This window comes from Homo sapiens, chromosome 6 (genome assembly GCF_000001405.40).
Source record: "Homo sapiens chromosome 6, GRCh38.p14 Primary Assembly".
Taxonomy (NCBI): domain Eukaryota; kingdom Metazoa; phylum Chordata; class Mammalia; order Primates; family Hominidae; genus Homo; species Homo sapiens.
The window spans coordinates 145,487,157-145,511,395 of NC_000006.12; the positions used below are offsets into that span (position 1 = coordinate 145,487,157).

General features: G+C 39.7%; 1 protein-coding gene and 1 pseudogene across 2 annotated transcripts in view; both read right to left on the minus strand.

Annotated features, from left to right (window-relative positions):
* EPM2A (EPM2A glucan phosphatase, laforin) overlaps nucleotides 1-24,239 on the minus strand; it is a 352,671-nt gene that overhangs the window by 103,804 nt on the left and 224,628 nt on the right. Inside the window, exons 4-5 of one of the 2 annotated variants that reach the window (XM_011536113.3) lie at nucleotides 15,366-15,419; nucleotides 13,587-13,765 (exon numbers count right to left, since the gene is read on the minus strand). In XM_011536113.3, the coding sequence (XP_011534415.1) occupies nucleotides 13,719-13,765; nucleotides 15,366-15,419 (101 nt within the window). In that variant the 3' untranslated portion in view covers nucleotides 13,587-13,718. Of the gene's footprint in view, nucleotides 1-13,586; nucleotides 13,766-15,365; nucleotides 15,420-24,239 lie in introns of those variants that run through there. The other variant, XM_024446550.2, reaches the window with a different exon arrangement.
* Nucleotides 1,778-4,950, minus strand: LOC645749 (zinc finger protein 131 pseudogene; annotated as a pseudogene).

Below are 24,239 nucleotides of genomic sequence, written 5' to 3' on the forward strand. Positions count from 1 at the left end.
CAAAGGATATGATCTCATGCTTTTTTATGGCTGCATGGTATTCCATGGGTTATATGTACCACATTTTCTTTATCTAGTCTAACCTTGATGGGCATTTAGGTTGATTCCCTATCTTTGTTGTTGTGAATATTGCTACAATGAACATATGTGTGCATGTGTCTTTACAACATATGGATCATATGTTCCTTTGTATACATACCCAGTAATGGGATTGCTGAGTAGAATGGTATTTCTGTCTTTAGGTCTTTGAGGAATCGCCACACTGTCATCCACAATGGTTGAACTAACTTACACTCTCACCAACAGTGTATAAGCATTCCCTTTTCTCTGCAACATCGCCAGCATCTGTTATTTTTTCACTTTTTAATAATTGTCATTCTGACTGGTGTGAGATGGTATCACATGGTAGTTTTGATTTGCATTTCTCTGATGATCAATGATGTTGAGCTTCTTTTAATATGCTTCTTGGTCGCATGTATGTCTTCTTTTGAAAAGTGTCTGTTCATGTTCTTTTTGTTTCTTGTAAATTTATTTAAGTTCCTTATAGATGCTAGATATTAGACTTTTTTCAGATGCATAGTTTGCAAAAATTTTCTCCCATTCTGTAGGTTGTCTGTTGACTGTGTTGATAGTTTCTTTGGCTGTGCAGAAGCTCTCTAGTTTAGGTAGATTCCATTTGTCAATTTTTGCTTTCATTGCAATTGCTTTTGGTGTCTTCATCATAAAATCTTTGGACATGTGTATGTCCTAAATGGCATTGTCTAGGTTGTCTTCCAGGGTTTTTATAGTTTTGGGTTTTATATGTAAGTCTTTAATCCATCTTGAGTTAATTTTTGTATACAGTTTAAGGAAGGGGTCCAGTTTTACTTTTCTGCTTATGGCTAGCCAGTTATTGCAGCACCATTTATTGAATAGGGAATTCTTTCCCCATTGCTTGTTCTTGAAAGGTCTGTTAAATATCAGATAGTTGTAGGTCTGTGGTCTTATTTCTGGGTTCTCTATTCTGTTCCATTGGTCTAGGTGATCGTTCTTGTACCAGTACCATGCTGTTTGGTTACTGTAGCAGCATGGTATAGTTTGAAGCCTGGTAGTGTGATGCCTCCAGCTTTGTTCTTTTTAGTTAGGATTGCTTTGGATATTCAAGCTCTTTTTAGGTTCCACATGAATTTTAAAATATTTTTTCTACTTCTGTGAAGAATGTCAATGGTAGTTCGATAGGAATAACATTGAAGCTATGAATTGCTTTGGGCTGTATGGCTGTTTTAACAATTAAGATTCTTCCTACCCATGAGTATGGAATGTTTTCCCATTTGTTTGTGTCATCTCTAATTTGTGTGGTTGTGTGTGTGTGTGTGTGTGTGTGTGTGAGAGAGAGAGAGAGAGAGAGAGAGAGATACTTTATTTTCCAAGTAATACTGATTAAAAATATTTAGACATTTATTTTTAACCCCACAGTTTAGCACTCTTATTTATATGGCTTTAAAAGTTATAGCACAAGATCTTTACATTAAGGATTGGGGGAAAAGATTCCATTAAAAAAAAGCCTGATAATTATATACATGTTTTTCCCTGTACTTTATTTTAAATACATTAATTTTTAAATGATGCTCATCTTTTTTTCATCTGGTAGTAAAATACTAGTGCAACTTTCAATCAAAATAAAGTTTACCACAGAGGTAAATAAATTTTCCCAGTTGAAATTGGCACTTCGGCTGCCATTAAATAAAATTTCTTAACCGAACTTAAGCGAAAAATAACTCGTGGTTGTTATTATAGGCAAAAATATAAAGTACTATAGCATTGGCTGCATTGCTCCTTATGACACAGACTTTGAAAGAACCAGATGCTTTACAGAAGTTTAGCTGGTTTTGAAACGGCACATGGGTATGGATTTTCTTTTCTTAACATTCTCGAAATTTTGCCACCACCCCTCTCTCTGTTGCAGAGATGGCATCTGTGACTACTGGGGTAGACAACAACATTTGTTCCAACGAAAGAAAGCCAAAATTTAACTGCACAGTAACAATGCAATGTTCGTCATGCAGCCTTGTGTTTCCTATATAGTCAATTTTCTAACATGTATTAGAATACATAAACTTGTATTCTAATGATTTAAGTTTGATTTTATAATATGAAAGAAATTTGAGGAAGAACATGACCTGGGAAAGAGAAGAGGGAGAATTTTTACCACAATGAAAATAGATACAGTCATATGCAACCTTGTATTAAGAATATAATCCACTTAAGTTTCCAGAAATGTACTTCTCAAAACTCCCCTTAATTTATGGAACAGATCCCTCCTCTGGCATTGAGCTGGGGAAGAGGAATCAATTTGTTTCAACAAAAACAATTCAGCACAACAACAAATAGCTTAACTTTGGTCCACTTGTCTGTTAGCTTAAGGACAGTCATACTGCCCATAATCCGTTCAAAAACCCAACAAGTAAATTTAAAAATATATTCATGTGTAATTTCATTCTAAAACCAGCATAGCTGTTCTGTCCTCATTCTCTGCCTTTTCAGCTTCAGAATCCACTGTTGGCTTGCTCTCTAATCCTCAGCATCTTCGTGATCTTCCCTGGCAGCCTCAGCAGCATCTGCTTGGCTAGGTTCTCTCTTCTCTCGGTTCATAGATTTCTGGGGTCACGTGGTCCAAGTCTGCTTCTAGAAGTTCAGTTTGTACTTCCACTGGCACCTGATTTATCCATTCAAAGTGAAGCTTCTCTACGTGTACTTCAGTACCTTCTTCAGTCTGAATTCGACCCACTTCTAGATAACTTATTTGGACCTGCTCTGGAAGCACACTCGTGTGAACAAAGTACCTGGCTGTCCTGGAGCAGATCTGGATGGACGTGTTCCACAGTCACTTGTGCTGAATCCACAGTCACTTGTGCTGAATCCACCTGGACCTGAAGCAATGGTAGCACACGCACCTTCCCAATTTGTTATATAATAGTCATTGATATGTCACAGGTTCAGTTTGCACACGTTTCTACTGAAAGAACTTCTTCCATTACTAGACGCTCTGAAATAGTGTCACTGAGATGCCTCATTAATTTACTTCCTTGCATAAACCACAAGTCACATAAAGAACAATAGTTGGGTTTACACCCAGTGTGTATTACCAAGTGATCTTTGAACTGGTCCCAGCTGTTAAACACACTGTTGCAGACATGGCATTTATAGAGCTTCTTTCTTCCTTTTTTGCCTCTATTCCAGTTTGGCATGCAGTGAGGTGACATTTGAGGGTGCTATTTCTAGCAAATCTTTCATGACAATTTGGACATTCAAAAGGTTTTTCACCTGTATGTTTTCTAAGATGTTCTTTAAAATGTCCAGAACAGTCAAACTGCTTCTCACAGTACTGACATACATAAACTTTCTTCCCAGTTCTTTGCTTCTTAGTGACTCCACCTTCTTCAAGATGGTAACAATTTAGGTGCTGTTTCCATGTGCTCTCCCAAAGATACCTTTCATTGCATATTTCACACTTGAAACTCTCAGTAGAGTGTGATTTCATGCGTTCCTTCAAATGATAAAACAATTTAAATGAACCATTACATTTCTCACAATGGAACAAGTCCTTCACATGTGAAGGTTGTCACATGTGACAACTGACGTTCCACAGTTTCGATACTTTCTACCTGTATGCTTGTAGGGTCAGATGCATGGCCATCTTCTTCTTTAATCTGCCCTTTTCTGTCACTTTGATGATACTTGCTGGTAATATCTGCCAACAGTGCTAGAGCAGAATCATTAGAGGAACTTGTGTTCTGTGTGTACTTTATGGATGCTTGGCAGAATCCACTTCCTCTAATGTTTTGATGCCTTCATCTTCACTTCAATTGTGCCTTCAGCAATCTCTACCTCAATTTCAACAGGTTCTGATTCTGCAGATGGCAATGATTCTGTGATAACATTTGAAGTTGCTGCAATCTTCCTTTTATTTGGCCACCTTTTTTCTTGTGGTATTTTCCTCTAATGGAGCTGAGTTTTCTTTGTTCCTGACTTCAAGGGCTTTCATAATGAAGCAGGAAATTTTCCCCGACCCCTTCATGGGTAGGAACTGGTGTGCAGGGGCTGGGGCTAGCCGGCCACTTCGGCACCAGCTGAGGCAAACTCTACTCATTGGAACCGGTTGCACTCAACCTGCCACAGGAGGGAGCATGCAGGTGAGCGGGCGCAGGAGTCAGGGCAAGTGCTTTTGGGTGCTGGCAGGAGCAAAACTCTATGCGGGCCCTGTGGACTCCATATCTGGCAGGACCCTCCATCCCCAGCTGGACTCCTTTCTAAAGCAACACCATCAAGCCGTCCCTTTGAAGTCAAGCTACTTCTCTCTGATGTCAAACCAGTCTCTGATGTCCAGCTGCTTCTTTTCTTCTCCGGTCTCTGCCAATGGAGCCTGGGGTTTTTATAGGCACAGGATAGGGGGCAGGGCAGGGCATGCTTGGCTTTGGAAATGACATTCGAGTGGGAAAACAGGAAGGCATGCTCTCACTTTGGGTTGCTGTCCCAGACTTGAGTGTGGGACCCTTGCCGGGGACCTGTCCTCCTTTGCCCAGAATTTCCCTGCCTCCTGTCCCTGTCAGTAACTTCTAGCATTTGTACAACTCTGCTGCTTTCCATACATCATTGGCTTCTTCTTCTCCTGTATCAATTATTTTGCTGTATATGTGAACTGAATTAAATTACAAAAGGTCATTTTACCAACAACTTCTATCTCCACCAAAGGTTCCTGGGTAAATTGAAAGAATTTATAGAAGAACTTACTGCAAGCAGCCAAAAGAGCCTTGTGAGCCTTAAAATGGTGTCTGTTGACAATCAGGATGATGTCAGTAAACCAGTCCCGATCTTGCTGTTTATTCAGTCAGTCGAGGATCATCTGATGATGTTCAGGAAACTTTTGAAAACATTTCATCCTCTCTTCAACCTCCATGGCCATCAGGTTGCCCTAGTTCATGGTCTGTCCTCCTTCTGAAGCAGGAAATTTTCCCTGGCCTTTTTGCAGGCAGGAACTGGAGTGTGGGTCTTGGGGCTAGCTGGCTGCTTTGGCACCAGCTAGGTCAAACTTCACTCACTCGAACCCACTGCGCTCAACCATTCAGAGGAGGAAGCATGCAGGTGAGCAGGTGCAGGAGCTGGGGTGAGTGCTTTTGGGTGCCGGCAGGAGCAAAATTCTGTGCGGCCCCCACAGTACCATCTAGGGTGGCGTACCTGCCACCCCCAAGGCCCCTGAGGGCATGTGTTATAGTGCTCTTTTAGCTTTGCCATCCACAGATAGCTTAACAGCTCAGTGGGGCCTCTGCCTTTTCACATGAGGTGGTTGTTCTCCACCAGCAAGGGCAGAGGGTCATTGTGACCGCCTTCATCCACACCTGTGGCACCCGAGCTCTTGTCTGGCATCCAGGAAAAATCAGGTCAGATGAGCAAATTGAAGGAAGGCGAATGCAGAGGATTTTATTGCTGATGAAAGTGGCTCTCAGAGGGAAGGTGAAGTGAAAAGGGAATGGAGTGAGAAGGTGATTTTCCAGGGAGGACCGGATTTTTCTCTGAAGCAGTCTGATAGCTGTCAAGCCATCCCTCTGAAGTCAAGCCGCTTCTCTCTGATGTCAAACCACAGTCTCTGATATCCAGCTGCTTCTCCTCTTCTCCACTCTCTCTGCTGATGGAGCTGGGGGATTTTATGGGCACAGGATTGGGGGCAGGGCAGGCCATGGGTGGTTTTGGAAAAGGCAACATTTGTTCAGGAAAACAGGAATGCATGTTCTCACTTTGGGCTGCTGTTCCAGGCTTGAGGGTGGGACCCTCGCCAGGGACCCATCCTTTCTACCCAGAATTTCTCTGCCTCCTGTCCCTATCACTTCCTCTCCTCAAAGCCTCTCATTCCATGCTTTCCCTTCTCATGGCATAATGTACCCCATACCCTTCCCTACCCCTCCATTTCCCCACAAGAGCCAGGGTTCTCCCTCTTCTCAGGACTTGCTGGTGCAGGTGTGCTCAGTTGGACACCTGGGTGGCCACAGTACCACTAATTTCTTTGAGCAGTGGTTTGTAGCTCTTCTTGTAGAGATCTTTCACTTCCCTTGTTAGCTGTAATTGTGATGGGATTTGTTTGTGATTTGGCTCTCAGCTTAACTGTTGTTGGTGTATTGAAAGGTAGCAATTTTTACACATTGATTCTGTATCCTGAGACTTTGCTGTAGTTGCTTATCAACTTAAGAAGCTTTTGGGCTGATATGTTGGAATTTTCTAGATATAGGATCATGTCATCCGCAAACAGAGATAGTTTGACTTCCTCTCCTCCTATTTGAATGCCCTTTATTTCTTTCTCTTGATTGATTGCTCTGGCTAGAACTTCCAATACAATGTTGAATAGGAGTGGTGAGAGAGGGCATCCTTGCCTTGTGCCTGTTTTCCAGGTGAGTGCTTATAGCTTTTGCCCATTCAGTGTGACGTTGGCTGTCGGTTTGTCATATATGGCTCTTGTTATTTTGAGGTATGTTCTTTCAATACCTAGTTTATTGAGAGCTTTTAACATGAAGGAATGGTAAAATTTTATCAAAAGCCATCTCTTTATCTATTGAGATAATCACGTGCTTTTTGTCTTTAGTTTTATGTGATGAATCACATTAATTGATTTGTGTATATTGAACCAACCTTGCATCCCAAGGATGAAGCCTAGCTCATCATGGTGGATAAACTTTTGATGGGCTGCTGGATTTGGCTTGCCAGTATTTTGTTGAAAATTTTTGCATCAATGTTCATCAAGAATATTGTCCTGAGGTTTTCTTTTTTGTTGTATTTCTGCCATGTTTTGGTATCAAGATGATGCTGGCCTCATAGAATAAGTTAGGGAGCAGTCCCTCTTTTTCCATTGTTTAAAATAGCATCAGTAGGGATGGTTCCAGCTATTCTGTGTACATCTGGTAGAATTCAGCTGACAATCTGTCTGGTCGTGGGCTTTTTTAGGTTAGAAGGCTATTTATTACTGCCTCAATTTCTGAACTCATTATTGGTCTGTACAGGGATTCAATTTCTTCCTGACTCAATCTTGGGAGAGTGTATGTGTCCAGGAATTTATCCATTTCTTCTACAGTTTCCAGTTTATGTGTATAGAGGTGTTTATAGTAGTCTCTGGTGTTTGTTGGTATTTCTGTGGGTTCAGTGGTAATATCCCCTTTATCATTTCTGATTGTGTTTATTTGGATCTTCTCTCTTTTCTTCTTTATTTGTCTAGGTAGTAGTCTACCTATTTAATTATTTTTTCTCAAAGAATAAGCTCCTGGCCTTGTTGATCTTTTGAATGTTTTCTTGTGTCTCTATCTCCTTCAGTCAAGATCTGATATTGGTTATTTCTTGTATTCTGTTAGCTTTGGAATTTGTTTATTCTTGGTTCTCTATTTCTTTTAGTTGGGACGTTAGGTTGTTAACTTGAGATCTTTCTATCTTTTTGATATGGGCATTTAGTCCTATAAATTTCCCTCCTAACACTGCCTTAGTGTGTCCCAGAGATTCTGGTATGTTGTATCTTTGTTCCCATTAGTTTCAAAGAATTTATTGATTTCTGCCTTAATTTCATTATTTATCCACAGTCATCCAGGGGCAGATTATTCAATTTCCATGTAATATATGGATTTTAGTGAATTGCTTAATCATGGTTTCTAATTGCATTCATTGTGCTCTGCTCAGAGAGACTGTTTGTTTTGATTTCAGTGTTTTTTTCTGCATTTGCTGAGAAGTGTTTTACTTGTGATTATGTGATTGATTTTAGAGTAAGATATTTGGCAATGAGAAGAATGTATATTCTGTTGCTTTTGGATGGAGAGTTCTGTAGATACCTATCGGGTCCCTTTGATCCAGACCTGAGTTCAGGTCCTGAATATCTTTCTTAATATTCTGTCTTGATAATCTAACATTGTTAGTGGGATGGTAAAATTTCCTCCTATCATTGTGTAGGAGTCTAAGTCTCTTTGGAGGCCTCTAAAAACTTGCTTTATAAATCTGGATGCTCCTGTGTTGGGTACATATATGTTTAGGATAGTTAGCTCTTCTTGCTGAATTGAACCCTTTACCATTATGTAATGCCCTTCTTTTTTATAATCTTTGTTGATTTAGAGTCTGTTTTGTCAAAAACTGGAATTGCAACCACTGGGATTTTTTTTTTTTCTGTTTTCCATTTGCTTGGTAAATTTTCCTTCATCCTTTTATTTTAAGCCTGTGGATGTTATTGCATGTGAGATGGGTCTCTTGAAGACAACATACTGATGGGTCTTGGTTCTTTATCCAGCTTGCCACTGTGTTTCTTAATTGGGGTATTTATCCAATTTATATTTAAGGTTAGTATTGTTATGTGTGGATTTGATCCTGTCATCATGATGCTACCTGATTGTTTTGCAGACTTGTTTATGCGGATGCTTTATTTATTTATTTATTGATTTTTAGATGGAATCTTGATCTGTCATCCAGGCTGGAGTGCAATGACACAATCTCAGCTCACTGCAACCTCCACCTCCTGGGTTCAAGCAATTCTCATGCCTCAGCCTCCCAAGTAGCTGGGATACAGGCATGTGCCACCACACCTGGCTAATTTTTGTATTTTTAGTAGAGATGGGGTTTCACCATATTGGCCGGGTTGGACAGGAACTCCTGACCTCGTGATCTGCCCACCTCAGCCTCCCAAAGTGTTGGGATTACAGGCGTGAGCCACTGCGCCTGGCCTATGTGGCTGCTTTATAGTGTCACTGGTCTGTGTACTCCAGTGTGTTCTTGTAATGGCTGGTAAAAGTTTTTCCTTTCCATATTTAGTGCTTCCTTTAGAAGCTCTTCTAAGGCATGTCTGGTGCTTATCAACTCTCTCAGCATTTGCTTGTCTCTAAAGGATCTTATTTCTTCTTTACTTTTGAAGCTTAATTTGGGCAAATATGAAATTCTCAGTTGGTACTTCTTTTCTTTAAGAATGTTGAATATTAGCCTCCAATTACTTCTGGCTTGTAGGGTTTCCACTGAGAGGTCTGCTGTTAGTCTGATGGGCTTCCCTTTGTAGGTAATCTGGCCTTTCTCTTAGTATGCCCTTACTATTGTTTCTTTCATTTTGACCTTGATTAATCTGATAACTATGTGTCATGGGGATGATCTTCTCCTGGAGTATCTTACTGGGAATTTCCTGAATTTCCTGCATTTCCTTACTCTGCATTTTCGGAATTTGAATCTTGGCCTGTCTAGCTAGGTTGGGGGAGTTCTTATGGATGACATCTTGAAGTAAGTTTTCCAAATTGGTTCCATTCGCTCCATCTCTTTCAGGTACACCAATCAGTTGTAGATTAAGTCTCTATATAATCCCACATTTCTCAGAGGTTTTGTTCATTCCTTTTCATTCTTTCTTCTCTGTTCTTGTCTGCCAGCCTGATTTCAGAAAGACAGTCTTCAGGCTTTGAGATTCTTTTCTCTGCTTGGTCTATTCTGCTATTAATACTTGTGATTGCATTATAAAATTCCTGTACTGTGTTTTTCAGCTCTATCAGATGGGTTACGTTCTTCACTATACTAGCTATTTTTACTGTCAGTTCCTGCAATTTTTTTTTTTTTTTTTTTTGAGACGGAGTCTCGCTCTGTCGCCCAGGCCGGACTGTGGACTGCAGTGGCACAATCTCGGCTCACTGCAAGCTCCGCTTCCTGGGTTCACGCCATTCTCCTGCCTCAGCCTCCCGAGTAGCTGGGACTACAGGCGCCCGCCACCGCGCCCGGCTAATTTTTTGTATTTTTAGTAAAGACGGGGTTTCACCTTGTTAGCCCAGTTCCTGCAATGTTTTATCATGATTTTTAGCTTCCCTGCATTGAGTTAGAATGTGCTCCTTTAGCTCAGTGAAGTTCATTCCTATCCATATCCTGATTTCTCCTCCTGTCATTTCAGCCATCTTAGCCTCAGCCTGGTTCTGAACCCTTGCTGAAGAGGTAATGTGGTCATTTGAAGGAAAGAGCACTCTGGCTTTTTGAGTTTTTGCATTCTTGATCTAAAGGAGCACATTCTTTTGCATATTTGTGGGCTTATCTACCATCAATCTTTGGGATTGCTAACATTTGGATGCGGTTTTGGGTTTGTTCTTTGTTTTCTTTTAACTGTCTGGCCACTTTTCCGTAGGGCTGCTGAGGTTTGCTGGGCATCTGCTCCAGTCCCTAGTTGCCTCAGATTTTCTGGTACCTGAAGATATCACCAGTGAAGCCTGCAAAACAGCAAAGTGGCAGCCTGCCCCTTTCTCTGGGAGCTCCATTCCAGTGGGGTACAGACATGTTGCCAGCCCAAATGCACCTGCAGGAGGTCGCTGGAGACCCTGGTTAGGAGGTCTCGCACAGTCAGGAGGAATGGGATCAGGGATCCACTTAAGGAAGTGATCTAGCCATGCTTTCCTAGAGTAGCTGTGCTGTGCTGTTGTATTGCTTCCGTCTGTGGTAAGCCTGGGCTCTCCAAAGCCTGGAGACCGGAACAGCTAAGTTGCTGAAACAGCAAAGATGGCAGTCACTCTTTCTTCTAGGAGTCTGTCCCAGGAAATTTTCAAACCTCAGTTGGCCAGAGAACATCGACCCAACTGGCTGGAGGCCCTAGTTAGGAAGTCCTGCCCAGTGAGGGGGAATAGATCAGAGACCTGCTTAAGGAACCACTCTGTCCACACTTTTGTAGAGCAGCTTTGCCTTACTGGGGTATTGCTTCTGCCCCAGTAGGCTTGGGCTCGCCAAAGCCGGCAGGCTGGAACAGCAAAGATAGTGGCCCTCCTCTCCTCCCAGGTACTTCATCCCAAAGAGAAATCGAAACTCTGTCTACAGGAGAACACAGGCAGAGGTGGCTGTAGGCCCCAGTTTGGAGGTCCTGCCCAGAGATGATGAATGGATTGGGATCCTGTTTAAAGAAATGGTCTGGCCAAATTTTTGTGGAGCAGCTGTGCTGTGCTGGGGGATCCCTTCTCTCCCCAGTCAGTCTGGACTCTCTGAAGCCTGCAGGCTGGAAAAGCTGGGTCATTCAAACAGCAAAGATAGTGGCCCACCCCTCCCGTCAGGAACACCAACCTGTCCTGGGAAGGCACAACACTATTGCCAGGGACTGGCTGGAATTCCAAGCCAGTGAGTCTTATTCTGTGAGGCACCATGGAAGTGGGGCCCTCAGACCAATGCTGCTTGGACCCCTGGATTCCACCCCCTTCCTAGGGGTACCTGTGGACCACCTGCCTTCCCTGAGTTGCAGTCACTTTTACCAGGGATCCTGGAGCCAGAGTATGTAAAGCTCCTGAGACTCTGTGCACACCTGAGTAGCTGCTCTGCTGAGACTTCACACAGCTCTGTGTGTCAGACTGAAGGCCCCAGTGGAGTGGGTTCATGAGGGGATCTCCTGACACGAGAGTTTCAAAGGTCTGTGGGAGAATCATGGTTTCCCAGGATTGCACATTCATTAACCACTTCCCTCGGTAGGGGAGGTTCCCTTGGCTCTGTGTCACGCCTGCATGGGCTGTCACTCTGCCCTGCTTTTCTCCATTCTCCCTGGGTTGAGCTGTTTCCTTGATCAGCCCCAGTGCAAGTACCTGTATGTTTCAGTTGAAGGTGCTGTATTTTCTGCCCCTTTTGTTCCTCTCCGTGAGTGCCATGCACCATAGCTGCTTCCAGTCAGTCAACTTGGCCCCACTCCATCAGAGTTTCTTTATCCACTCATTCACTAATGGATACAAAGGCTGTTTTCATATCTCGGCTATTTTGAAGAGTGTGAACTTTATCTTTTAAATATCTTTTAAAAATCTGTCAATTTCTCTCTATTCCCTCCACCAAGACCTAGTTTCAAACTCCAATCTTTTCTTAGACAGACAACTGGCTGCAGAATGCCTCCCAATGGGTCTCTCTCATCCGTTTTTGGCCCTTCCTGATGATTCTTCACACTATAGCCAGACTAAACTTTTAAAAATACAAATCTGATTATGGGTAATTTCTGAATAAATTATGGGTAATTTCTGAATAAAATGTATAATGCTCTCACTCAAGATGAAGAAAAAAATTAACATGGCATACATGGCTTTTCACAACCTGACATCTTACATCTACCTTATTTCTCATCTGACTCCTTGCCTCCTCTTTCCCTGAGTTCCAATTAAGTTGATATTTTTTAGAATCAAACAGCATAACATGTTTTTTCCTAATTCATTCTGTTCCTTTTACCTATTCTGCCCTACCTGTTATTTAGATTCAGTTCAAAATTCATTTCCTGAAGGAATCCTCCTTGTACTTCTACATACTCTCATACTTCTTATACTTTCAAATCATAAGTTTATCATGGCTTATAATTATCAACTTTTGCAATTAATTAATTAATGTCTACCTCCTCAACTAGACTATATGTTTCTTAAGGGCAGCATTCAAGTCCATTTCTATTCGTTGCTCTGTATGAGCAGAAACACAGTGTCTGGCACATAGTAAATACTCAGAAATATTGTTTCATTCATGCATGAGTGAGTGAATTAATGAATGTTAGCACAGTGGCTTTTAGATAGGAGTCTTGCCTAATGGAAGACCATCACTCATACTCTACCAATTTTATTACTGTTTTATAAAGATCAAATAATACTCCACAGAGAAAACATTTTTATATATTGTCTTTATAATGGTTGTAAGGGAGTCATTGATACAAGTGTATATTTTGGAAAAATGAATTAATTTAACCAAGATAAAGAGTTACATTAGGGATGCCTGTAGTGTGATCTCTCTTCTGCGTCTTTTCTCTGTTCCTGGAGCACGAAGGTGAAGGAGCCTGGTTGATGATTGCTTTTCCACTCATATCCTGACAACATAAAAATGTTTCTTCGTAACATCAAAAGATGTGCTTTTTTTTTTAGCCCAATAGCATTTGAACTCAGAAAAATTATAGTTCCCAAGTGAAATAGACTTTGGTATAACAGACATCTGCTTATATAACAATTTATGTAATTAGAGCTGGGTAAAAAGAATTTGTGAGCCAGTACGACAGAATTTTCTTGAAAGCTATAGAACAATCATTTATATGGATGTTCCAACTATTTAGAGAGAGAGTCGTCAAAACATCCTTCATCAAATCTATTTGAGTGAGGTAAATAAAATAGGAGTGACAGAGTCTTGATTCCAGAACATGTAAATTCTTCTTTGTTTGATTTTCTACAGCTTGCATTTTGATGTTGTAGTCCCAGTAGAGGTGAGAAAACTGCAAAAAGGAAACTACTTGGAAGTAGTACCTTCAGCCTCACAATCTAAGCAGTTAGTGGCTAATTATTTACCTCAGTATCTGATTTTAACTGCACTCAGCCACTCAGATATGTGGAACAGAGCTGTCCACCAGCAAGGACACAGAGGGCTCCTGACAATCCCCCTCCTGATCTATCCCCATCAGTAGACAAAGGGAAAGGAGGAGAATCAGGTCATTTTCTTGAGAGTTCCTGTTTCTGCTACACCAAATTTGCTCATATGAACAAACACATGGCTCCTGAGACCCACAGACCTTATATTAAATATATTTATGAAGCTCCCCCACTGTGTTCCCAGAGACTCAGATTCTTACCTTCTATGAATGAGCAGAGCTAACAAATTTCTCTCTGGCCTGGGAGAAAATGACCTTCAACTATAGCTGAGTCAAGTGTAGATCTGGAAATTGTCTTCAAAAATTACTTGCTCCCACAGTTTGTCTTGACCAGCTCTCTCCCTTCTAGCAAATGTCCTCAGGTTTGGTTTGTGGGAAATGTCAGGTAGGTTTGATGTGTAGATTCTATTTATTGGTAAGAGTATAAAGTGAAGATGCTAGAATAATTTGACAGTCAGATTCATCAAGCATTTAAAGGAGCTTTATTCCATGTGTGTCAGTATTCAATAACACATATAATATTTGTAATAATGCCAACTAACATTTTCTGAACACTCACAATGTACCAGACACTGTGGAGAGGAGAGGAGAGGAGAGGACTTTTACATTTTCACTCTCAACTTTTACAAGCAAACGTTGAAGAGTTTAGTGCTATGAAGATGAAAACCTCTGCTACTACTGAGTCATAACAATAATCACAAAAATCCTAATAGTAAAATGAATTTGGAAGAAACCTGGACAGTAAAAACTTTGGAATTTTTCTTTGTGCCCAAATTGTGGGTCCAGCAATATTCCTGGTGGCATCACAGAATGTTGTATAAAATACAAACTGAGTGGCCTTGAATTTCTTCAAGGTGGAATAGCCTTGAATGGTCATATGTTTTCTTACTCTTGTCCTTTTGGTTGTCCCAATTAATTATTCTATTTTCCGAATGTTTCCTATTTGTAGTATTTTGTGGCCACCTGGTTGGTCTCAGTGCCATTGCTTCTACTGCCCTGGTATATAATTGACATAACTGGTAGACTTGTGTGTCCCAAAGCACAAAGCTGAGCTTCACTCAGAAACTTTGGAGGAGTAATTTCTTATTTGAGTACAATTATTCAGAGCATGCCTATTATTACATATTGGGCAGAAGTGGGGGAAGAAGGAGTTACGAAGATTGTCCCACTAATTAGTAACACAACTATTCAATGCTTATGAAATTTTTCTTTCCTGTGTGAGCTTGCACCAGTCGTCACCCATCTGCCATCTTCTACGAGATATAATAAGGTTAGGGAGATATTTGTGTCTTACTTTTGTTTTAAGTAATCCAGAATCCCAAGGCCAAAATCTAAAAGAAGACAGGGATAGATACAGGTAGAGGTGACAATTGTCATTGTTATTGTTCTCATTTTACAGATGTGAAGGCTTAGACTGGAAGACTTTAAATACTTGTCCAAAGTCTTAGTGCTGGAGTAAAAGGAAGAGTCTCGAATTGAACCCTAAACAGCTAACCTCTAAACTCTTGCCCTTAAACAAAAGAGTGAAAAGGAGCTTTTATTATCTAATTGGACATTGGGAGAAACACTCTTAAGCAAAGAAACAAAGGCATGAGCACAGGTAAAGGTAAGAGTTTGAAATTGGTATAAAGCACATAGCTAAACCTTTGGAAGTCAATTAAAGGAAAGGCAACTGTGAAGGAGATTATTTAGAAAAAAGAAATGGGAATTCTCTGACATCTGGGCATCTTCTTGCTGTCTTGTCCTGGGTTTCCAGCTAAACTGAGCCCAGCCAAGCTTTTTGACTCCCTCCCATGGCTTCCATCTGCCACACAGCTCTGGCCAAGGCCAAACTCAGCCTGCCTTATTTCCAGAATTCCTTGCTTCTGCAAAGTCATCTCGAAGTGAGCCATAGAGCAGTGTCCTCTGAATGACTGCACAGCCCCCAAATATATGACTTTCCTGAAGAAGAGATGACAGCCAGCTGAGGAAGCTGCTCACTGGGAGGAGGTGCATACTCACTCACCTGCAGTCTCTTCCCACATCCCCGAGCAGCACATGTCAGCTGTCCTCTTCTCATCTGGAAAAAGGAGGAGAGGAGTGGCAGCTTATTAAAACCTGGCACAGTGCCAGCCTTGCTCAAGATGTTGTTATTCAGTCTTAGGAAACACCTTGAAAATAAACAGTGACTATTTCCTATCATGTAATATACATAGTATTTAGCAAATTAGAAGTGCTTAATAAAAGTCAATGAATCCCAAATAAATCATGACTATTAATATATTTATTTGTTTGATACAAACTGGATGTACAAATCAATAAGAAAATTAATATTTTGGAATCTTAAGGCTTTCACTGAATAATTATTACATTGAATTGAACAATGATTTTAATGCAGATTCATAATATTCATGATGAATACATATTAAGATTATTTTGAATACATAATTAGTTTGCAGAGCACAGATTCCAAATGAAAGGACAATTAATTTTTAGCTTTAGCTTTGCCATAACCCATTTAAATGTTTTTAGTGATGCTTCCATAACCAGCATAGCACATAATTTATAAATGAAAATGCTAATCTACAGACTATCATCTGTCCTTTCTATTAAAATTATTAAATAAATGCTAGCATTGATATGATACAAGATGTGTATAGAGGAAAGCTTTAATGTAAGAGGGCTCTTTTCAGGTCTATTTATTATTGACTTTAAAAATTTTTTATTGTGTTGGAAGTTCTGGCCAGGGCAATCAGGCAGGAGAAGGAAATAAAGGGTATTCAATTAGGAAAAGAGGAAGTCAAATTGTCCCTGTTTGCAGACGACATGATTGTTTATCTAGAAAACCCCATCGTCTCAGCCCAAAATCTCCTTAAGCTGATAAGCAACTTCAGCAAAGTCTCAGGATACAAAATCAATGTACAAAAATCACAAGCATTCTTATACACCAACAACAGACAAACAGAGAGACAAATCATGAGTGAACTCCCATTCACAATTGCTTCAAAGAGAATAAAATACCTAGGAATCCAACTTACAAGGGATGTGAAGGACCTCTTCAAGGAGAACTACAAACCACTGCTCAAGGAAATAAAAGAGGACACAAACAAATGGAAGAACATTCCATGCTCATGGGTAGGAAGAATCAATATCGTGAAAATGGTCATACTGCCCAAGGTAATTTACAGGTTCAATGCCATCCCCATCAAGCTACCAATGACTTTCTTCACAGAATTGGAAAAAACTACTTTAAAGTTCATATGGAACCAAAAAAGAGCCCGCATCGCCAAGTCAATCCTAAGCCAAAAGAACAAAGCTGGAGGCATCACACTACCTGACTTCAAACTATACTACAAGGCTACAGTAACCAAAACAGCATGGTACTGGTACCAAAACAGAGATATAGATCAATGGAACAGAACAGAGCCCTCAGAAATAACGCCGCATATCTACAACTATCTGATCTTTGACAAACCTGAGAAAAACAAGCAATGGGGAAAGGATTCCCTATTTAATAAATGGTGCTGGGAAAACTGGCTAGCCATATGTAGAAAGCTGAAACTGGATCCCTTCCTTACCCCTTATACAAAAATCAATTCAAGATGGATTAAAGACTTAAACGTTAGACCTAAAACCATAAAAACCCTAGAAGAAAACCTAGGCATTACCATTCAGGACATAGGCGTGGGCAAGGACTTCATGTCCAAAACACCAAAAGCAATGGCAACAAAAGCCAAAATTGACAAATGGGATCTAATTAAACTAAAGAGCTTCTGCATAGCAAAAGAAACTACCATCAGAGTGAACAGGCAACCTACAACATGGGAGAAAATTTTCACAACCTACTCATCTGACAAAGGGCTAATATCCAGAATCTACAATGAACTCAAACAAATTTACAAGAAAAAAACAAGCAACCCCATCAAAAAGTGGGCAAAGGACATGAACAGACACTTCTCAAAAGAAGACATTTATGCAGCCAAAAAACACATGAAAAAATGCTCATCATCACTGGCCATCAGAGAAATGCAAATCAAAACCACTATGAGATATCATCTCACACCAGTTAGAATGGCAATCATTAAAAAGTCAGGAAACAACAGGTGCTGGAGAGGATGTGGAGAAATAGGAACACTTTTACACTGTTGGTGGGACTGTAAACTAGTTCAACCCTTGTGGAAGTCAGTGTGGCGATTCCTCAGGGATCTAGAACTAGAAATACCATTTGACCCAGCCATCCCATTACTGGGTATATACCCAAATGACTATAAATCATGCTGCTATAAAGACACATGCACACGTATGTTTATTGCGGCATTATTCACAATAGCAAAGACTTGGAACCAACCCAAATGTCCAACAATGATAGACTGGATTAAGAAAATGTGGCACATATACACCATGGAATACTATGCAGCCATAAAAAATGATGAGTTCATGTCCTTTGTAGGGACATGGATGAAATTGGAAACCATCATTCTCAGTAAACTATCGCAAGAACAAAAAACCAAACACCGCATATTCTCACTGATAGGTGGGAATTGAACAATGAGATCACATGGACACAGGAAGGGGAATATCACACTCTGGGGACTGTGGTGGGGTGGGGGGAGGGGGGAGGGATAGCACTGGGAGATATACCTAATGCTAGATGACGCGTTAGTGGGTGCAGTGCACCAGCATGGCACATGTATACATATGTAACTAACCTGCACAATGTGCACATGTACCCTAAAACTTAAAGTATAATTAAAAAAAAAAATTTATTTTGAAATAATTTCAGACTTATAGAAAAGGTGCATGAATAGTACATAGAATTTCTGTATATCTATCTAGATCTCCTAACAGTTAACATTTTCATATATGTGCTTTATTTTTCTCTCTTACACACACACACACAAACACACACACAAATATGTATGTATATATACGTACAATTTTTTTCCTGAACTATGTAAAAGTAAGCTGCAGCCATGAATCTAGGATGTTCCATTACCACCTACATAGTCAGTATATTTTAAAATTAAGATGTTAACAATATTATTCAGTAATATTATCAAATCTGCAGACCTAGTCATATTTCACTGGTTGTCCCAGTAACTTCCTGTAAAACAAAACAAAACAAAAAACCCTACACTTATTTTTTTAAGAGCAAAGTCTTAGTTGTATATCTGTATCAAGCTAAAACTAGTGTATGGATTAATATGAAATGAGATTCAGTCAATACCACTGTAGGACCATATATGTCCCTGAAAGATTAAGGAATGTGATTATTTTCTTAATAAAAATTATAATGCATCACCAAGATTAAATGTTTCTGCTATTAATATGTGTAGTAAGAAATAAATGAATGAAAAAGTTAAAATTTAATAGTGCCACTTTGCTTTTAAACATTTTAAACTATTTATCACTAATGACAAATCATTTTCAAAATTCTAGTAGAAGTTCCTAGTTGATTGAACATGAATGAGATGGAATTACTTGGACAGAAAGCCAGCCAAAAAGGGCATCACACTAGGAGCTGTCTAGCTTTGAGCTCTACTCTGAAATGCAGCCCCTCTAGGTGGTTTTATTACTTACAATTGGTAATCTACTGTCAAGAAATGATGGAAAAAAAGAGACAGCCCCTGTGTCAAAGGACTTCACACTACAGTTTCCTTTGGTTTAGGGAGCATAGTTGATTTGTGTTATAGCAGAATATGGTGTATAATGTTTATTTTTGTTTTTAAATGAACTCCACGTAGTATGAAGAAGGAAATCTAATCAGTGATGTTGACATATAAATTATTACATAACCTTTGCAAAGAATTTGCAATAATTATTCAACAACCTTATCTTTTCATCCAGGAATTCCACTCCTGGCATTTTTGCTCAAAGAAATAATCCTAAGGACAACAGACGCCTTAGACATGACAGTGTTCATTATTTCATGATTCATAAAAGTAAAAACAAAAATAAAACACCTAAAAGTCTAAAAGCACAGGAAAGGCAAGGTAAATTATTGTATATACACAAGATAGAATGGTGTACAGTTATATATAAAATCTATTAATTAAAAATTAAATATATATTAATTTTAAAAGTACTTATGTTGAGAAACTTAGTAAAAAAGAGTTTCCAAATTGAATATATAATATGAACTCAAGCATATGGAAAAGAAAATACAAAGAAAATAAGTCACCCTGTAAGCAGAGGTTGTATCTGGGTCATACAAATACTGTGCTGGCAGTGAGCAGGCCTAGAGGGCGTGGCCCAGTCTCCAGCTGCAGTCCTTGGATCTGATTAGGATAGCTGAAGCCAAGGAGGCCACACTGACCAGCCTATTTCTGATCTTGTTTCAGACTGGCCCACTCTTCAGTTCCTGATTTTGTTAAACAAGGTAAGAGAGAATAGATGAGAAACAAGCAAATAGGGTCCAGGATGCTTGCTGTGAACACCATGGAGAGCATCTAGGCCATCCTTAAGCAGTCAACAGGTGCCTGGTATATGAAATTGTTGAGCTTGTTAAATATACAGACATTTTCCACCTCCAAAGTGCTGAGATTATAAGCATGGGCCACCACACCCAGCCAAGACTGTGGTTTTAAAGAAAGAGATGAGATTTTAAATCACAAGTAAAAAAATCAAATACTTCATATCTTCTTTGCTACAAGGTATGCATTTTTATTTCACCTTGGTTATCTCAATTCAATTTTTTTAAAAGAAAGAAAACCTTTTCTTTTCCCAAGATGGTGACAAAAAGACTTTTAGGATGCCTCGGCCACTTGGAAACAGCAAAATAGTGTGTAAAAATCAACTCTGAGTTTTAATTCAAAAGGAAAGGTGACAATTTGCAGGAATAGCAAAGGACACCTCATATTCTGGGAAGGAGAAAGTGGGCAAGCAGCCCTTGCGACAGCATTCAGCTGAAAAGGTGTGTGGGAGGGGCAGTCAGTCTCCCTTGGTGATTCACCTTTCCACTAGGGATATGTGCCAAGGGAGGGCACCCTGTTTCTCTCAAGCCCTAGAGATAACAGTTAGGGAGAGGCTGAGAGATAGAGAGATGGAGACACTGGGAAAAAACTGCATTGTCCCAGACCCAGGACCAAGAGGAGGATGCCATTTTCCATCCAGGCTTATACAAAGGCAGTCATTGTTTTGCAACCTGGAAGCAGTAGCCACAGCAGGCATTTAATTTTGGGCCAGAGACTGGGGTTCTAGCACTGGAGTAGGAGAAGGGTTCCCACTGCCAGAATTGAGTGGTGAGTATGGAGAGTGTCCCAGCAGTAGATGCTAGAATTAGGCTCTCTCTCACCACAAGACCAGTATGGGAGGAGAGTTGTTGAAGCTGAGGATTCTCCTGGAGGGCAAGACTTACAGCCAGGGACAGCTTTGTATTCTGGGACCAGTCTGTGTGTGTCCTTGGTGGGTGCCCCAGCCTGCTCCCTTGGTCAGTGGGGAGACAGTGCCCCACTAGCTCCAAGGAACAGGAGGGAGGTGGACACCACTTCCTTGGAGATCTAACCCCCAGTACTAAGTGGCCCTAAGGGAGAGAGGTGCATAGCCTGCCAAAGCCCCCTTGAGTCAAAGAAAACTTGAGCATGGTGCCAGCCACATAAGGCAGCACCAACAAAGCCTGGAAATGAACTTAAGAGTTCATCTCTCACCCCCAGCTTTCTTCTTCAGTGCACTGCTGTCGACATGACAAAAGGTCTTCCAGGTGGGGCCTGGGGAGTGTGGACTGACAGAGGCCACTTCCTGGGCTTCTCCATTGGCTCTACCCCCACCAAAGGTGAGCATGAGCTGAGGGAGGGTGCTTTTCATGCTTCTCCATTGTTTCTGCCCATGCTAAGGGTAAACACATGCAAAGAGCCTCTTGCTGGCTCTTACTTCTCAGCATCATCTACTGGCTGGAAGCCTGAATTACACCTCCAAATAAAAGTAAATCACTACAACAATAAACTTGAGGAAGACACTGCATATCTGCAACCAAGGAGCCCTTACAGAGCCTTGGTCCTCTGAAAGCACCCAGAAACAAGGCAAATCAATGATACACAATAAACAACACAGTCATACCCTCAAGGGAAAAAAATAACAATAAAAAAATCAACACTCCCCATCAAAACAATAGCAAATTAAAAAGAAATAAGGAGAAATGTCAGCTCCCTCAGATGAGAAGGAACCAGTATAAGAACTCTGGCAATACAAAAATCCAGAGTGTTTTTTCACCTCCAAAGGATTGTACTAGCTTTCTAGCAATGATCCTTACCAGAATGAAATGTCTGAAATGACAGATATAGAATTCAAAATGTGGATGGCAAAGAAACTCAACAAGATACAAGAGATAAGTTAAAATCCAACACAAACAAGCCAGCAAAATGATCAAAGACTTGAAAGACCACATAGTTATATTAAGAAATAACCAAACAGAACTTCTGGAATTGGAAAATTTACTAAAAGAATTTCAAACTACAGTTGGAAGCATTAACAACAGACTTGACAAAGCAGAAGAAAAAAAAATCACAGACTAGTCCTTCAAATCAACCAAGTCAGACAAAAATGAAGAAAAAATTATTTTTAAAAAATTAACAAAGCTTTTGAGAAATATAGGATTATGTAAAGCAATGAAACCTATGACTTGTTGGCATTCCTGAGAGAGAGAAGAAAAGTAAGCAACTTGGAAAACATATTTGAGAATATAATTCAGGAAAATGTCTCTAATCTGGCTAGAGAGGTCAATATGCAGATACAAGAAATCCAGAGAAGTCCTGAGAGTTGCTATATAAGATGAACATCACCAAGGTACATAGTCATCAGACTATCCAAGGTCAATGCAAAAAAAGAAAATCTTAAAGACAGATAAAGAAAATGGCCATATTATCCTTAAAGGGGAACCCAACAGACTAACACAGACTTTCAGCAGAAATCTTACAAGCCAGAAAAGATTGGGGGCCCATTTTTAGCATTTTTAAAGAAAAGAAATCCCAGTCAAGAATTTCATATTCCACCAAACTAAGCTTCATAAACAAAGTACAAATAAAGTCTTTCCCAGACAAGCAATCACTAAGGGAATTTGTTAGCACTAGACTGGCCCTATAAGAGATGCTTAAGGGAGTGCTAAACATGGAAATGAAAGATGTTTGCTACCACGAAAGCACACAGAAGCACATAGCCTATGGACCCATAAAGCAACTACATAATCAAGACTACAAATCAATTAGCTAAAAGCACTACGAAAGGAACAAAACCACTATATCAATATTAACCTTGAATATAAATGGCCTAAATATTCCACATAAAAGACACACACTGGCAAATTGGATTTAAGAAAACAGTATTCATTCTTCTGCTGTTTTTAAGAGATCTATCTCACATGTAATGAAACCCATAGGCTCAAAGTAAAGGGATGGAGAAAGGTCTATCATTCAAATGGAAAACAAAAAGGAGTAAATGTCACTATTCTTGCATCATATAAAATATACTTTAAACCAAAAACAGTGAAAAAGGACAAAAAAGGGCATTACATAACAATAAAGGGTTCCGTTCAACAAGAAGATTTCACTGTCGTAAATATATGTTTACCCAACATTGGAGCACCCAGATTCACAAAACAATTACTTCTGGACCTAAAAAAAAAAAGACTTAACGCAGCCACACAATAATAGTGGTGGAATTCAACACCCCACTTACAGCATTTGACAGCTCATTGAGACAGAAAACTAACAAAGAAATTCTGGAGGTAAATTCAACACTTGACCAACTAGACCTAATAGACTTCTAACAGAATACTGCACCCAACAACCACAGAATATACATTCTTCTCATCTGCATATGGAACATACTGTAAGATTGACCACATGCTTAACCATAAAGCAAGTCCTCATGAATTAAAAAACATCACAATGATACCAGCCATACTCTCCAACCACAATGGAATACAAATAGAAATCAATACCAGTAAGGACTCTCAAAACTACATAAATACATGGAAAATAAACCACTTGCTCCTGAATGACTTTTCAGTAAGCAATAAAATTAAGGCAGAAATGACAAATTATTTGAAACAAATAAAAATGGAGACACAACATACCAAAACCTCTGGGACACGACAAAAACAGTGTTTAAGGGGAATATTTATAGTGCTAAATGCCTACATTAAGAAGATGGAAGGATTTCAAATGAACAAACTAACCTTGCATCTAACAGAATTACAAAAACAAAAACAAACAAAAAAATAAAACCAAAAAGACTAAACACAAAGCTAGCAGAACAGAAACAACTAAAATTAGAGCAGAACTAAATGAAATTCAGACCAAAATGATCAACAAAATGAAAAGTTGTCCTTTGAAAGGATAAACAAGATTGACAGACCACTAGCTAGATTAACAGAAAAAAAGAACATTCAAATAAGCACAACCAGAAACAACAAAGGTGACATTACAACTTCTCCAATAGAAATACAAAATATATTCAGAGACTACTATGAACATGTCTATGTGCACAGACTAGAAAATCTAGAGAAAATGAATAAATTCCTGGAAACACACAACTTCCCATGATTGAACCAGGAAGAAATAGAAATCCAGAACACACCAATAACGAGTAATGAAATTGAATCAGTAATAAAACACCTACCAATCAGAAAAGGCCCTGGACCAAAATCAGAAAAGGCCCTGGACCAAATGGTTTCACAGCTAAATTCCACCAGATGTACAAAGATCTGGTACCAATTTATATTCCAAAAAATTGAGGAAGGGGGATTCCTCCCTGACTCATTCTACAAAACTAGTATCATCCTGACGTCAAAATCTTGCAAAAAGATAGCAAAAACAGAAAACAACAGGCAAATATCCCTAATGAACATAGGCACAAAAATCCTCAGCAATATACTAGCAAACTGAATTGAGCAGCACATCAAAAA